The 18103-nt window shown below is 36.8% G+C and overlaps 1 protein-coding gene across 20 annotated transcripts in view; it reads left to right on the forward strand.

The window, feature by feature from the left end:
* CARMIL1 (capping protein regulator and myosin 1 linker 1) overlaps positions 1-18103 on the forward strand; it is a 341157-nt gene that overhangs the window by 268077 nt on the left and 54977 nt on the right. For all 20 annotated transcript variants that reach the window (XM_017011008.2, XM_017011009.2, XM_017011015.2 and 17 more), the window contains 3 exons: positions 3460-3635; positions 6559-6646; positions 9251-9400. In XM_017011008.2, the coding sequence (XP_016866497.1) occupies positions 3460-3635; positions 6559-6646; positions 9251-9400 (414 nt within the window). The remainder of the gene's footprint in view (positions 1-3459; positions 3636-6558; positions 6647-9250; positions 9401-18103) is intronic.

The raw sequence follows: 18103 nt of genomic DNA on the forward strand, positions 1-18103 counted from the left end.
AAAAAACAGATCCAATAAATAGACCCATACATATATTCAAATGTTAGAAATGACAGAAGTAGCACTGAAGTTTAGTACAGAAAAAATGGACTATACCCGTACTTAGTGAGTCCTTGGGCCTGTAATACTTTTTAATATGTTCCTTAGTGATTGTTTTCAGAAGTGTGCCAGGCCCTGGGGATGTAAGATGGGACTTCACAATTGCCACCAGGTTATAACTTTGTATCTGGAGTCTGATGGCTCTAGCTCTCTGTGAAGTTCCAGAATTCTATTAAAATTGCATATAAATTTTTCTGGATGAGTGTTCATCAGATTCTCAAAGGCGTGTCTTGGCCCAAAAATGGGTAAAAGTCACTAACTTCTTGAGCATTTTATTTTATTTTTTATCACTGAGGTTCCGACTGTATGGCAGCAGGAAAGAGTGCATGTCATCAAATACAGCTTGGAGTGTGAAGAGAGTAGGGGAAGAAAGAAAGTCTTCTCAAAGAAAAATATTGAGCTGAGTGTAGAGGAGTACAGATGTTTTATTCTGGCCCAGAGGGGAAAATGGAGGAATCTAGGCCAAGAAAACATTGTGTGCAAAGCATGGAAACAGAGCCTGGATCATACGGGGAACTGCAACCATGATTGGATTATGAATAGTTATAAAGGAAATAGAGAGATATGGCAAGAAATGAAGCTGGCAAGCTCAGCATCTACCAGATACTTCAGGGATTTTTATTCTGTGCTAAAGAATAATAATTTTGACATATTTCCACTTTTGAGGAAATATCTAGGAATAAATTTAGCATGTTTTGGAGATAGTTGTGGTGGAAGGGGTTGAGGTAGGTAGAGTCTAGTGAGACTTGCAAATTTCTCACCTAGTTTAATACCATTCTTCACAGTAAAGAACTTAGCAAGAAAGGCTGATTTTGCTGTTGTAGTTGTTATTGTTTGAGTGGGGAGGGGAGGACAATACTTTGCAGTTGACCTTTCCATGGCATATATTCAGGCGGAAAAGTTTCCTAGGCTTTATTGTGTATATGTTTTATCATATGTATTGTATAGGTGATTGTAGATAAATATTTGGTTGAGACTCACTGGAATAACAGTTTGAAGCCACGGGAAGGATGGATGTTGAACAGGCTCTGGTGTGCAGAGGTCCATGGGGGCATGAAGGAGAGGCTGCAGTCCTCTCTTATCTTTCTCCCAGCCCTGCCACTGCAAAGTTTACCCTGGCAGCCCTAGATACTGTTTATTTAAGAGAACAAGGGAACAAACTTATAAGTAATGAAGCAGAGACGGAAGGCACATTCTTTTGGATACTGATCAGGGCCATTAAATGAGGATGGGTATAATAGGAAACAAGAGTAGGAAACAGAAGACCTGAGTGCCCATCTCACCAACTCCAGTGACCAGCTGAGCAACCTTGAGCAAGTCACTTATGTCCTGTGAGCCCCAGTTCCCTCATCTAAAGTCTATCTTCACCTACAGAGTTGTCATGTGGATGAAAGGAAACCCTGGATGAAGTTACTTTTAAAGTGCTGTATTGTACTGTTGGGATAGAGGTGGTGGTAAGGAACTAACTGCAGAATATTTGCTGGATTAGTTAAATGCCTAAGACAGGCTAAAATTCGTTTTTATAGGGTCAAAGTTATGTGATCATGGAGCAGAAAGAGACTTTATATAATTTTATAGATGAAAATGCAGAGATCCGCAAAGATTATTCACTTAATACTACTCACTTAACATTCCACAGAAATTTCATGTCAGAGTTTACATTGGAAGCCAGGCTTCCTCCCTTTAGGTGTGAAGTTCATTCAAACTGAATTAGCACTGTCATGCAGGGAGACCTTTCAGAAAGTAACTGATATGTTGAAGAACATGACAGAATTAAAACAGAGTATTGGATTCCTGAGGTTGTTTGTATCAGGAGTGCCGGACTATTACTCCATCTAGAACAAAATGTGTTTATCTCAGTGTCAAAGAGGAGACTAATTTGCCTTAGACTGACTTACTTGCATCTCTTGCAGATGATTGGTATAGGAGCTTTCTTGAAAAATATACTAATTCAGTGATTATTCAACCAGAGTTATAATGGGGACAGAGCACTGTCAAAATAGGAAAGGCTTTTGGAAACTTCTCAAACGGCTGCCTCCCTCCTCTCTTCCCCTGGTTTTCCACATTATCCTTGTAAACAGCCTGCTACTCTGCTGCTCACACTGCAGTGCAATGAGAAATTTTATTGGTGGATTGTGCTTTGCATTTTAATATGTGAGCAGATAGACCACTGTACCAGTCTTTTGATAACAGTGCTTCATTGGTCCTAATTCACAGTGGACCAGTAATAGGATCCAAGCCTTGCTTTCAAAAACTGCGTTTCTTATCATTAAGAACAGTCTTCGAAATCAGATTAATAATAATGTCTGTGATGTATTGAGCTTTTAATATCTGTGATATACTGAGCTCTTACTGTGTGCTAGACACTCTGTGGAACACATTAGACATGTAATATTATTTATTCTCAATAATCCTATGAGGTGAGAACGTTTTTATTGTCATTTTATGGTCAAGGAAAGTCAAATGGAGAGATCAGTAACTTTGTCCAGTGTCACTCAGCTAGATTTCAAATTTAGGTCTGACACTGATGCTGATGCCCTTTCCACACTTTCCAACCGTATCACCCATCTCAGACAAATCATTTAACTTCCCTTAGCTCACATTCTTCAACCGTAAAATGGTGATCACATGAATAGCTGCCCTACCCATCTTCACAGATGTTGGAAGGATAAAATGTGCAGAAACATTTTTCAAACTCTAAAGTGCTATATGAATGTCTTTTGAGTGTTACTATTAATGCTGTCTATAAGGTGCTATTAATGTTTTTGTCTGTTATTTTCCTATAGTTTATTGCTGTCATAATAATTAATATCTTACCTAAAGCTTTTCTTTTAAAAGAGTAAAATTGGCAGTAGTTTCTGTGATTTTTCTGCTACTGCTGTTTTGATAGAGCAATTGAATGGTTCACCCTAATTTGGAGTTTCTGTGATTTGCAGAATCTCAGAAGCATTCAAATATGATATATTTTCTAGGGTTACCTGTGACTTTGTGTTCTAGTACCAGGGAAAACAAGTTCTTGTGGTAAGGGGGTGTATAAAGGCTTGATGTTTGCATTTTTTAATCTTCTCGTTAATGGCTTTGTGTTAAGTACAGCTGACACGCCATAACACTTCAGATGCCAGCATGAAGCTTGCTTGGTTCTGCCAAGTGTCTGATTTAAAGTGATTACCAGAGATCAATGATCATCCAACAGTCACAAGTCACCCTGGGGCAGCTCAGAATTCTTGGTTGCGCTCTGGGACTCCGTCGTGCTCCTGTTCTCTGAGGGCTCCGTGTCATATATAACCACCTTTCAGTTTTATGGCGGGCACCTCGGGTGCAGTGTCATCATCTCTTCCCTTCACTTGTGCTGCATTGCAGGCGTTGCTTGAGTCCATGGTTGATGCTGCTGAGAATCTTTGTCCCAATGTGATGAAAAAAGCCCACATTCGACAAGACTTGATTCATGCCAGCACCGAAAAGATTTCTATTCCACGTACCTTTGTTAAAAATGTCCTGTTGGAGCAGTCTGGAATTGATATCCTTAACAAAATTAGGTAGGTTTATAATGTTAATAAACCTAGGAGCTGCAGTTTCTGTAAATGCAGTCGAGGCAGCTGTAAAGAGGGTTATTGTTGGCTGTATCCATATATAATGTGTTTAGGCATGTTTAATAGGCAGAAACTGTATATAAATATAACTGTGCATAAATGCATAAGTTTTATACATTTCCAAAATGAGATGATCACGTAAATGCCTGCATTACTTAAGGACATAGAATTATCTGCTCTGTTTAAAGGTTTTATATTTAAGAGAGGGTACATGTTTGTAATCCCTGTTTTCTGTTTCTGAAGTTTATCTTTCACCTTTACAGATCACTAGCTTGAAGATTGAGATCAGTTTGCTTTTTACCGTCATACACTGTGAACAAATGCACAGCCTCTAAATAGGGAGAGGCCCACTTTGACCTTCCCATATTTTCCTTCTGGGTTATTTTGGTGGGTCTGTAATACTATATGTGTATTAATGGTGTCTTTGCAGTGTTTACCTAGATTTCTGTTTGAAAAAGTTTGAAAAATATGACAAGATGTAAATATTTAGAAGCCGTGATTACTGGCAAACTTTTCTGAATTTTTATGTAGAGACTCTTGGTCCATCAACAGTATTACATTATAGCTCAGCTAATTCTCATAATGTTTCTTAGTTGGGGAATCAGATAACTAAAAACTAAGTTCAGAAGCATTTTTTAATTTTCCATTTTAACCATTTTTGAATATTGATAAAGATATTTAGATGTAGCAGAAATAATAGCTCCTGTCTATAGAGCTGGGGGCGGTGCTAACACACAATGATACAGCTAAATGACAATCCATGAGAAAAACGAGCGAAAAACAAAATGAGCCCCAAATTATATTATCGTTAACTAGATATCAAAGGCTGATGACTCTAAATCCAGATTATAGAACTTTGAGGATTTAGAAATTCTGCAGTAACTGAATAATCTCAGGTCTTTTTTGTTTGTTTGTTTGTTTGTTTTGTTTTACTGAAGCCCCTAAATCCTACTCAGCTGAATTGTAAGGCAATTGGAAGGACTTGAGAAATTTTAGAGAAGACTTCTAGAGGGTTTATAGGACCCCATAGATTAGTGACTTTATAAACTCTAGCCCTTCACTAGGTGTGCTTACTTATTCTTATAACCTGTGGTTTGAGAATTTTTTTGTTGGAGATGCCTAAACATTAAGGAGAAAATAATGTATTGGCCACTATTCTTTCATAATAGTGGTTTCAGCCACAAATAGATCATATTTTGATAGCTTTGAGTATCAAATTCTGTCAAATATGATCATTTCCTTTGAAAATGGGCAAATTCTGAAAGTTGAACAGCAGTATAGAATACACATCAATGAATCAATTTTATGTCCATTAACTCCATACTTGGCTTTTTATAATGCATTATACTGAACATTGATAGAATGAAAATATTTACACCTACACATGCATGTATGTATACATTCATATAATATGCACATTTGCATGGGCAGGTTAAGTTGACTGTTTTCCTCTAAAACCTTTGCAAACTGGAAGCTTAACCAGGAAGGAAGCATAGTATCCGGTAGCAAAATGATAGAATGATCCTGAGATATTAAAAAATAATTGCGTTTTTAAGACTCTATCTTTTTTTGGTGCTACAATTTGAAATAGATGAACCACTCCTCCCCACTTTCAGAGAGAAGGAGAGAAAGAGAAACTATTGAACCTATAGTTTTATGAGGAAGTATAATTTCTAAACATGCCTAAAAAGAATCAGAGGAAGTACTTAAAATTAGATTTTCAGGTCCCTCTGAAAGTTTGGGGTGGGACCCAATAACCTGTATTTTTAATATGAGACCTGGGTGAATCTTATCAGTAGACACCTCTGGGGAATAGTAAAGTATCAGATAAAGCAAATAGATAGTGATACCTTGTTTCATGGGCAGAAATTAAATGTATTTTTTTATCTTTAGCTTAAGATAATTTTTACTCTAAGTAAAAAACTAGTACTTCTATTCAGAAATCTCCCCAGGCAGAGAAATCTCCATGCAAATTATTGCCTTTAGGTTAGCAAGATTTTTTCCATGTTACATGAATATATTTTCAACGTTAGCTTATGCGACAATATTGGAATATAGGTATGTATTTCTCTCACGTATTTACCTTTAAATGTATTGTGCTTAATGTACATTTGTACATATATCCATTAAGATATTCAGACCGAGAACACACATGAAAGTGGAATTCTTGGGAATACCAAATTTGCAAAAATGCAAACAAAAATACCAGCCATCTGACAGAATCTTAGTGGCTGGGTCTGTTTATTAGTAAAAACAACAAGCCACTTTTTGCTGTGTGGACAACTCTCTGAGGTCAGGCAACAGGCACCAGAACTGCAAATTTTAGTAACCTCTCTTCATAAAAGATAGGGGCAGGTGATTTTGTAAATAGTCAAAGTAAGATGGTCAGTCAAAGCAGACGCAGTTATGGTATCATTTGATTGGTGAAAAGTTTTTTAAAAGGGTGAGTGATACGCATACTAAAGCAGTAACTAAGACTTAACAACCAGGCTAGACTTTCTTAATTTACTCCAGCCCAGGTTTGTTTTCCTTTATGTCAATGGATGAATTGTTCCTCACCACATGGTACATATGGTTCCCATTAACTTTGTCTTTATCCAGACGTTTTTCATTTCTACCATTAAATCTTGAGTTTTGAAATTGCAGAGGCAGGTTGAAATTGGTAAAGAAAGTCTATTACTTGTGTGTTTATGGCAGTGTTTAAGGTTTATTTTTGGAAATCCTTAGTCCTGTTCACACATTCTTATATTCCACTTTCAAAGACAGAAATGGAATCACAGTTGACCTTATCACTATAGCAGCAAGGGTGGATCATTTTCCCCTCTTGCACAAATTAAAATGGTACTCTGTCCTTTTGATTTTCACACAGTGAAGTAAAATTGACAGTGGCCTCGTTCCTGTCTGATAGAATTGTGGATGAAATCCTGGATGCACTCTCACATTGCCATCATAAACTGGTGAGTGCTGTGCACATCTTGAGCAGGACCTCCTGTTTCAGCTCTGCTGTGATGCAGGATGACTTCCGGTGTGGGGATGTGATTTCTTTTCTGTATTTCACACTATTACAGCTTTATGGTTTGTGATCTTGGTTTTCCTCCTTTCTCTTCTATGTTGCTTCTAGCCATTCTGGAGCATGTTAGAACTTCTCCAGAGGGAATGATAAGGGAAAGCAGAACTGATTGTATCCAGAAATCTTATTGTTCATTTATTATAAAGGTCAAAAGCTTGGGGAAGAAATGTTGAGACTGAAGTCTGAAATTAACATTTTAATTTATCTTTGCTCATTTTGTTGTTGATATGATTATTTGATAATGGACTATTCTAAAAACATGGGAGAAAATAAAAATATTTGAATAAAGAAAGTGCAAGAACAAAATGGGCATAATTTAGTAATGGATAGCTGCTGACTGCCCCACAGGTGCCTTGGATATAACCAAGGTAAAAAAAAAATTTCTTCATCTAGAGACTGGTTCTGCCTCAAGGTAGGGGATTTTACTTCCAATATCAGTGCATATGAAAAAATGTATCAGAAACTCAATGTTGCGCAAACTTCAGGAAGTTCTCTGAGGTACAGATGAAGCTTTTATAACTGGTTATATCTAATGCCTCAATATGATGCAGTGGAAGTCTCCCAGGAAAGTTATAGCAATGTTTCCTTCAAGAAAAATAATTCTTCAATGTTTTCTTAACTGTGCGGGATGGAGATACCAGTTTTATGGCATTGAATTGTTGGGTGACCCTAGAGAATCCTAAAATGAGAGGAGCAGCAATAGCTTCTTCTGCGTGAAACAGACAAAATGCATGTTTTTGAAAAATTCATTTGAGAAAAACGTGTAAGACTGTCTTCCAAAATCTGAAAGACAAGACAGATATCTCTAATAGCACAATTCAAATGCTGCCTGTGGACCAGAGGTGGCCCACTAATGGATGGTTCCCCAGAGGAAGCATCCAGAAACTTCTTGAGCTTCCAATATCAGTGCATATGAAAAAATATAGTTTTTCATTGTAGCACCAAAAAAGATAGAGTATCCAAACACATGTTATCTTTCTGATTTTTCTTTTTTATTGTATTTTAACAGTGTATTGGTTTGTGCTAAATTGGAAATATAAAAAACCAGTTTATCACCACATTGAATGTAAGAAACACTGTTTTCTATTTCCTGGCACAGTAAAGAGCTACATGATTGTTTAGAGCTCCTGATTCAGCCTTTTTTTAAATAAGTACAAACAAAAGCAATAGAGTATTCATTCATTCATTCATTCATTCATTCATTCATTCAGGATGGAGTCTTGCTCTGTCACTCAGGCCAGAGTGCAGTGGTGCGATCTTGGCTCACTGCAACCTCTGCCCCTAGGTTCAAGTGATTCTCCTGACTCAGCCTCCCGAGTAGCTGGGATTACAGGTGTGTGCCACCACACCTGGCTAATTTTTGTATTTTAAGTAGAGATGAGGTTTCACCATGTGAAATCCTTTCTCAGTCTCCTGACCTCAAGTGATCCACCTGCCTCAGCCTCCCAAAGTGCTGGGATTACAGGTATAAGCCACTGCACCTGGCCTAGAGCATCCTTTTAAAATAAACTTATTTTAGAAACAGTTTATTGATAACCCATGGCTCCAGGAATGGCCTTAAAATGCTTACTTATGACACAAATAGTACATATTATACTAACAGAAATCTTCATGTGAGAACTACACTGAAAGTTTGAATTTTTCACTTTTTTGCATTTGTTTTTTCTTAAAGAATTTACTCAGAAAGTATTGATTTTTTTAATTGCGAAAAAATTTGCTGAATGCACTTTTGGTTTGAACTTCATTTTAACATTAATACTGCTGATTTAGATTATAAGGAAAGAGATTAAGTCTCATATGAAGGAAATACTGTCTTCAAAATGAAACCTTGGTTTCAATGACTTTCAGATACCATTTTCACCAACTTAAGTTTGTAAACGTTCTCAAAGTTTCCGTGGACTTGCCAACTGGTTTTCATTGTTTCAGAAGAATTAAATCAAAGTTCCTGGTGTCAGATCAGCTCAGCACTGAAGTTTGTTAATTTCAGCCAAGCTTATTCTACCTCTTATTTAATTTTTTATGTTTACCTAAAGTATAACACTGGAAATTAAGAAATCATATCAAATATGGTATTCATTATATGAAAACAATGAAAGCGAGCAGGAATTAAAATTTTGCTAGTAATTTCCTTCTTTTCAGTCCTTTAAAAATAATGAAAGTTGGAATTGTTTTATTACTCTCAGATACTTTTTAGTATAGAAGGAAATTTCTTCAGAGGAATTATCAAATAAAATTAATAAAAAGAACACTACTATGTTGTCTCTTCATTTACTAAGAGATTTATAACTTATTGCTTAAAACACTCTGTCCTCCAAAGAAAGATAATAAAAGGAGGTAAGTTACTGTACTGTGAATGTATTAAGAATTGTCCTTGTCACTCGTCAGCTTTGTGCTCCACTGCGCCATCTTGTGGAAGACGTCTTCAGGAATCCTGCTAACCAGCACTTTCTCTGTACTTTAATTTCTCCTCGTACACGTCTTGACCTTCTAGGCTGACCATTTCAGCAGACGTGGCAAGACCCTTCCTCAACAAGAATCCTTAGAGATCGAGCTGGCTGAGGAGAAGCCAGTTAAACGTTCCATCATCACAGTGGAGGAGCTAACAGAGATAGAGCGTTTGGAAGATCTGGATACCTGTATGGTAAGACACATCCTCTGGTGGTACCGTTACCCTTTTCACTGGACTGTGCCATTGTTTTTTTTTTTTTTTTTAAATCTCACCTTTTGAAATCAGACCAAACAAAACACTGTCCCCACCCTCAGACAATTCTTTCAGAAAAGTCCTAAAGAGGCCGCTAATGAAGTGAATAAAGCTGAAGCTTCAGCCCCCTTCTAAGGCCCTGTAGCCATAGTGGGAAAATTCCTAATTAGGAGAAATAGATTAGGTAACTCTTAAAGGTTTTTGTGACAGGAAAATATCTTCAAATAAAATTATAAATAAGCCATTAAAAATGTGGAGAAAGACTTTTTCAAATAAAAAATATATATAGGGTGACTCTTTCTTGGTCTTACCTGTTTTCTTTTGTTACACAACTTTTTGACAAACCCTTAAATTTGGGCTTCCTGTTTAGATGAGATTCTGTTTCGTTAACCTGATTTGATGTGCTTTAGAAGATGGAATGCACACTATAATGTTTACCTAACTGTAGGTCTTAATTTCTTATCCATTTTCTAAATTTCATGTAGCATATCCATCTGGCCCTATAACTAGAGTATTTAGGTTGTTAATACCTTTTCACTCTAAGGAAAATTTTATCTGAATCCTATTTCATTATTTTAAAATTTATATTAATCAGCATAGCTACTTCTCACTTTACCATGAAACAATTGTTTGTGTCTATATCATCCTCTGTATTCAATATGTTTATGTCTTACAAAATGTTTACTTTTTAATAATTCCTTATAATCTGAGGTGGTGGTGGTAAGACTAGGTTTTGGTTACTTATATGTCCAAATGTTTCTACATTAGCTTGTGATTTTAGTAATTTTTAGATGAAGCCATTGTTAAGAAATAGTACTTGTTTTAACTTTGAACACCAAGGATCTGATATGGCCGATATTACTTTTCTAACCTAGGAGGGAATGTAGTGTGTTAAGAAGTTTACTTATTTATAAACCACTGTTATCATGTTTTAAAGTCTGTGAATAAAATATTTGAGGGTTCTCTATGTAAAGTCCTGTCCTATACAAGGAGAACAGCAAAGAAAGCCTAATGTATAATCCAAGATTGTAAGCAACATTCTAATATCACTAAATAAGGCTGAAAAACAGTTTTCTATATAATTATATAAACCTGCACATATATTTAATCTGGGTGGAGGAAATTGTCAAGTTTTTAAAAACTTGGTTGTCCATCTTATTATAACATTTATATTTCATAAGTATTTTGAGTTTGTTTGCCTTTTGAGGCATTAGAAGTTGGACACTATGTTATAGGATAATTGTTCTGGAAAGCTCTTAGACTAGCCCTAAAAGAAAACAAATAATAAGAAATAGATTTGAATTAAAAATTTGAAATCAACTCCACATACCACGTTTCCTACCAGATTTATTTGGTCATGTGTAAATTGGAAAAGGGTGAAGGAAAAAACAAGCTAGTAAAATGTATTTTATTAGGTTTATAGATGATGTGGTTTGGAATGAGGAAAAGTTGGTTATGAAAGACTGGCTCACCTACTGTAACGTTGGTTTTAAACTGTGTAAACTTTGTTTGGAAGTAAGTTTTTTTGTTTGTTTAATTTGGTTTAGTTTTGTGAAAGGAAGAAAAAGGTTGTTTGTTTGTTTTAAGTGAGTGAGTTGAGGGTGGAGGAAAGGAATAATTTTAAAAAATGCAGTTGGAAGACCACCCTCAGAACTTAAGGGACAGGCCTGCAGCAGGCACAGCCCCTGTGAGTCAGCATCCATTGTAAAAACATTCATGTTGCCATGATGCCTAAAGAGGCAGGAGTAGATGTAGATCTCTTTGAATTCAACTCTCAGGACAAGCCACGTTAGGAGGGTAGACTTTATCTGGTTTAAAGGGCCAAGGAGGTAAGCAGGGAGGGCCATTCCTGAGATGAGCCTGTGTTGAGTCCTAGGGTGAGGAGCAGGGCCCTGGGTGTTGAGGGAGTGACAGAGAAACACAAGAGCTCTTCATCAAAAAAAGAATATATAGGTAGGCATGAGTTTTTAAGTCATGAAAGCAGCTTTTGTTCTAATAAATATTGTCTTCATTCATTGTTCTAACTAGGCTAATAAGTTGTTAAGTAGTAGAAAACCAGAGTTAAATTTGCTGTTAGTGTAATGAAAAAGCATATTTTTGTGTGTGTAAAAAGTGCAAGTCGGGATTTTATACTATTGATAATAATTTCGTGTATACTTTCAGCCTAACCATCAATTCCAAGCCACCCAAAGATAGAACCTTTCACATGGCAGCAGCTGCCCGAAGTGCAAGGATCCCTCTCCTAAAGGAAATCGATTTTCTGAGCTGGTACAAACTCATAGCTAATTTGGAAGGAGTAGAGCAATAGATTGCTCTTTTAATGCCTCCTTTCATAATCAAAGTAGCAAACCATTATTGTTTGTTATTGACATCTATTACCAGATATTTCAAGCTGTGACCCTCATACGATGCCATTGGGGGAAAAAAGTTTGCAGTCCATATTTCAAAGGGAGGTGCATTTAATTCGTGATGGTTTTCTAAATGAGTGTATGCATTTTCCTTGGCAGCATTTCTATCTTAAGTGATCCGGAAAGTTAGGACTCAAGATTAACTGTTGTGTAGAAAACTATCAGAAGGGCAAGTACATAAGTACATGCACGCAACCTTTCCCTCATGGAATTAAAAACCCCTGGTGGGTAGAATTTGTGCCACAGATGGAGCTTACAGCACTGTTGAATTTGATTGCTTTGGGAGATGTTGTAATTTTACTATTACCAAAAATGTTTGTTTATAGCCCAAAGAACGGTGAAACTTTCCCTATGAATTCCAAAGGAACTTTGACACATCACCAACCTGCTATTCACAGATTTAAGTTTGTTCACAGATCCTGGCATTTTTTGTGCAGGATGTTCATAGCTACTAAACCCATTTTTGAGCATTTCTTTAGGAAACTGGGCAGAGATTCTGGGAACCCTTTTGTCCCCTGCCCCTGGATTTCTAGTCTTCATGTTTTCTTCCATTTCTCTCTGGTCCAAATGTCAATTCCATTTCAGTGCTTAAGTCTCTTTAAAAAACCAACAGTTATAATTGCACTAGGGGAGGTTTAAGGGCATGTTATGTGTAGAAATTTATATTAATTTGAATTTTAATGTTTACCTTCCTGGAGTTGGAAACGATAATCCATACGATTGATTTCTTTGAAAGAAATTCATCACTTAGTCAACAACAATTAAACTTTTGTTTTGACTAAGCGAAGGCTGAAGTAAGAATGATTTGAGTGATTTCTTGGGACCTGTTATCTGCTGGAGGATAACTAAGCTTCTAATCAAACTTAATTTTATAAAGTTAAAGAAAAAGGCAGTTCTTTTTAAACAGAGTGTCAGAAAAGGGAATTTTGTTTGTTTCCCATAAGATAAATGATCTTTTTCTTTTAACGAGAAGAAACTAAGAGGTAATCTAGTTCAGGTGGTAGGACACAGTGGGGAGGAAGATAACACAAACTATTAAAATCACCTGCACTGTTTTACAGCCTGTGTCTACTCTCTTAGCCCCCGAGAGTCTGACATCTCCTTAACTGCAGGGCGGAAAATTAAATGGTTTAAAAAGCCTTCTTATTCATGTGCTTAACACTTATGTAGTACCTGTGACGTTCAGGCACTATTCTGAGCTCTTTGTGACTGTTAACCAGTTCAATCTTCATAGCAACCTGAATAATAAGGTCTTATTAATACCTTCTGTTTAACAAATGAGGAAACTGAGGGAGAGAAAAGTAAAGTAAGTAACCCAAGGTTAACCAAAGGCAGGCAGTTTGGTGCCAGAGTCTGCATTTAACTAGTCTGCTATAATGAGTATATGGATTTCATCTATGGTATTTCTTACAAAAGGATTAAAATTTGCATTCAATTTAGTTATACCACATTGATTTCTGTAAAATAGGTGCTTACTAGCCCCAGATGAAATGAACATGTGAACAGAAACACAAATAGAAGGCGTAGTGTAATATAACCATAATGGTAGCCTGTAGTTTTTAAACATTGTTGGAAACGTGTGTCAAATATCTGCTGTGTTCAGTTGTTATCCAATTGTTAGAAATGAAGTTGCCCACTTTTGGCTTACCTGAAACCTCCTGTGCCTCTCTATATGTTATTTTGTTGGTGACAATGATTAATTAGTTTTCCTATATGCTTCTTATCATTTCAACCCACATGCCTTATATGTCATGCTGAAACGTGTATTTCTTTAGAATCTTTATTGTTCACAGACCATCTGTTCTTCTGCAGTTGGGTGCTCTTAGGAAATCAGTATTCTGAACCATATCTTTGAACTTTGGTGTCTTACTGGTCCTTGGGGTATTGAAGGATGCAGTTTTAGTTCTACTGATTAGTTATCTCTAAATATTTAATTTGTCACCATATATAGTATACCATCTTTAAAAAATAGCAGAAGTTTGGGATTTAAGTAGTATGCCAAGTGAGTGAAGAGCCAGTGTCTGCTCCTTAGGCATAACTAGCTCACTAATTGTATGTAATTCTTTCAATTATTTTAATGAGCGTCATACCAGTTTTAAATCAAAAGATATTCATGCAGAGGAGCAGTTTGTCCGCTTATTGCTGTTCCTAGGAAAAGAATCTTAAAAAGCTTGAATTATTACAGAACGCATCTTTGTGAATCCTGTCTCCAATGATAAAATAGCAATTATTTTCCCTTAACAAATTCAACTTCAAATTTCAGTATATATTTTTTAAGTTTTTAAATACAGACTAAAATTCAGCAAAAGTCTATTTGACTTGGTCAAAATACTATTTTTGAGAAGAAATTTAAACAAATGGCCTTATTCTCAAGTACCAACAGTTATTAATGGAACTAATCTATTCACAGGGTCGCCAAGCACAGACTATTGAGTCAATATGTCTCATCTAAAATGGTTTACACTAATATTAACTATGTGAAGAGGGTTGTTCAAATCATAATTGTTAATTTTCTCATAATTTTATTCTGTAATGTCTTTTTCTTACTGATATTACTTTTGAAAACAGAGTTAACTTTTTAACTAGTAGAAAGCAATTGATTAAAACACCTTTATTTCCAAATTCTAAGTTTCAAAATTACACTCTGAGTCCAACGAAAATGGTTAATGTGTGTTCCTCAAAATTTGTAATAGTATTTTTTTATTTTTTATTTTATTATTACTATTATTTCTTTCCTCAGAGATCCTTGTTCTGATGTAATAATATTTGTTACAGTCCTTTGTCAAAATGCCGGGAATGCATGTCCCATCCCTGAAGAGTTCATTGTTGCCTCAAGACCCAGAGTTACTCTTTTAATTTTTAAATCACATGAATACCACTATCAGAGGCCCTATTCCAGGGAGCTTCCAGAGATCTGACCCAGATATCTTTTTTTTTTTTTTTCTTTGAGACGGAGTCTTGCTCTGTCGCCCAGGCTAGAGTGCAGTGGCATGATCTCGGCTCACTGCAGACTCTGCCTCCCTGGTTCAAGCAATTGTCCTGCCTCAGCCTCCTGAGTAGCTGGGATTACAGGCGCCTGCCACCGCGCCTGGCTAATTTTTGTATTTTTTAGTAGAGATGGGGTTTCACCATCTTGGCCAGTCTGGTCTTGAACTCCTGACCTCATGATCCACCTGCCTTGGCCTCCCAAAGTGCTGGGATTACAGGCATGAGCCACCGCACCCGGCCAGACATCTTTTTTAAAGGATTAAAACAAGGCCTAAGGTACAGTGTTGACTGCCCTCACAGGCTACCCAAGAGACAAAAGATTTCCCTCTTATTGCAGTTATTTCTAGAAAGAGATGAATCCTACACCTTTGCCCTGCAGGTAACAGAGCAGGCTTCACCTCCCAGAGCCCTAAAGCTCCCAGTAGGAGCTAAACTCCTAAGGGAGAAGATGGGGCATACTAAATAAATCCCTCCACAAAATGACTTCAAACATGAACCAATTGTGACTAGTCAGGGCATTCCAAAACCAGCACCCAAATTGGGCACCTGACTTGTTGATTGGAAATGGTGATTCTTATGAGCTTAATTTTGACATGTAATTATCATTATAAAAGGTAATTTTGTAATCATAAACTAAACATGAACTATATTAAATGTCTCTAGTAACCTGCAGATTTATAAAACAGAAACCATTCCATTTTCTGTGTGTGTGCATATGACATAGGAATATACTTAAGGAGGAAAAATTGCAAGTGAATTTTAATTTTAACTGAGTCTAAATGAATTAAGTTATTTACAAGCAGTCACAGATTTAATGGCTCCTGGGTATAGTACAGTAGAGCCAATAGTAAGTGAAATAATTTCTCTAAACTCAGTCTTACTTTTCCTCCCTTAGAAACCTCATGCTTTTCAACATGCCATGATGACATTTGCATCAACGACGTTTCGTTTATGTCAAAAAAGCTCCAAATTATCACTGCTTTCCAGTTAGAATAAAAGATCAAATCCCTTTGGGATGAAAGGTTTCCTCTTTAATTTCTGAGTTAAACAATATTCAAATTGGAGAAAACAATGTTTTTAAATACTAAGGATGTAATTCTTGTCTGTATATATGTATGTGAGAGAACCTGCCTAAAGAGGAAGACAATGGGAAGTCCTTAAAGAGGACTTGTTTACCCAGGTGATGGGGTAAAAGAAACATCTGGAAGAAGGTGGCTGCTGGCTCTCAACAGAGCCCAGAGGAGGAGGCAGTTGTACTTGATGTTGAAGTCTTAGGTAGCGATGAGCTATCAGAAGATCCCTTAAGCCATGCATAGGCTAGATGGCCATTCATTTTTTCAACAAATGCTTATTGTCCATCCATCATATACCAGGTATTCTTGGCTTCTTGCTAGGAATGGAAGGTGAAAGAACCATTGTATCACCCACCAGGCTTGCTACATTGAGGGGAAGAAGTGGCAAGGTAGTTTTGGTGGATCACAGAACCACCGTCTGTGTAAATCACTTGAATTTGCTTGGATGCTGGAAGCTATGAATCTACCACTGAAATGAGGTCATCAAGAAAGGCTTAAATTCATACAGGTTACATCTTTCAAACCTTTGGTAACAACCCACTAGTGAGTCATGAAATCAGTATAATGGTTGCAACCAGGATTAAAAAAAATGATCTGACATAAAGTATGAATATATTTTGTATCATATTAAGTATCATAAGTAACATATTATACAAAATGTATCCATAAGTATCATATTACACCAAATGTTTGTTTCAGTTATACATACATGCATGTGTAAATTGGGGTGTGACATAATAACATATATGTCTTAGGAATAGGTCACAGTCAAAAAAGTTTGAGAAACTTTCATCTATAATAACTCTCTCTACCTGGTGTGTTTCAACTTTCTCAAAATATTAGCCACACAGCAGCTCATGCATGATCTTATTATTTCTCCACTGCACTGTCCAGGTCAGGAAAGGGCCTGAGCAGAGATGCAGGAGTAGAAGAGGATTTGGTACCCTGGAGAGCCTCTTCTAAATAGGCTCATTGTTTGTTTCATTGTTTTGAGCTCCCATGGAATCATTTTTACTGAAGAGTGCTTTTGCCTTATGTTGTTGATCTTCATTGAGGACCACTTTAATAAATATCCCTATGAAATTTGTTACCATATGTACTCTTTATACTGTCTATACCACTATTATTGTCACTCTGTTTTATCTTAAAGTGCAATTGTTACAGATACATCCAGGTGAGATTGCAGGCAAGAGTAGTGGACGTTCTGAGTAGTTTGCCTTCTGTCTTATGGACACGATGGATTGTGCCATGTGTCTCACTTTGGTATTGTTAACTGAGAGGCTCAGAACTGAATGTGCATTTGACCTATAAAAAGTGTGCAGTACCTGAAGAAGTGTAGTTTGTTGTATTAAGCTGTAATTCTGGCTTCATTTTTTTCTTCATTGTCTTTACTCATTAAAAAAAAAATATTGCTGTTACATATGGGCCTCAGCTCATTTTCAGACTGAGGTGGTTATACATTAGTAAAGTGAAAAATTAGATATGGTGGGAAAGTGCTCTGGTAAAGGTAGGCAGGTTGCTATGGAAGCACAGAGAAGTGGTGTCCAGCCCAGCCTGGGGGAGGGGTGTTGTTAAGGAAGGCTTCCTGGAGGAAGGTTCTATGCATCATGCCTGGCACATACTAGGCCCTCAGTAGCTGCTGTTACAATGAGAGATGGCATGAGAAAGAGAAGTTTGCTGGAAGGAAAATGAGTAAGTAAATTTAGTAGGGAGAGTGGCACATATAGAGCTCTGGAGTGAAGACAGAACAGTGCAATTTGAGGAACTAGTATAAATTGAGGAACCCAATTTGGGGAGGCTGGAAGGGAAGGCATGAGCCTTATCACCCAGAACCTTGTAGATCTCACTTAAGGGTTTGTTTGTCATTTATTTGTTTATTTTTAAGGTAGCAAGCAGCCACCAAAGGTGAGGAAGCTGTAAGATGGGCTAGGTTTTTGCAGAAACAGTGGTGACTTCTGTTTTGTTCATCAAGATTGAGGTACTCACAAGGCCCTGGTTGTGATGTCCAGGAGTAGCTCTGGGGCTCAGTAGTCAAGTCTGAATAAGGAGTCATCCATGCCCAAGTAAAGCCACAGTACAGGTACGCTCACCAGACTGCCTTCCCTGAAGTGATCATTGCCTCTTTAGTTCTATCAGCATTGTTCTTTTTTCACATTCATGATATTTATCTCAAT

Source organism: Homo sapiens, chromosome 6 (assembly GCF_000001405.40).
Source record: "Homo sapiens chromosome 6, GRCh38.p14 Primary Assembly".
Taxonomy (NCBI): Eukaryota; Metazoa; Chordata; class Mammalia; order Primates; family Hominidae; genus Homo; species Homo sapiens.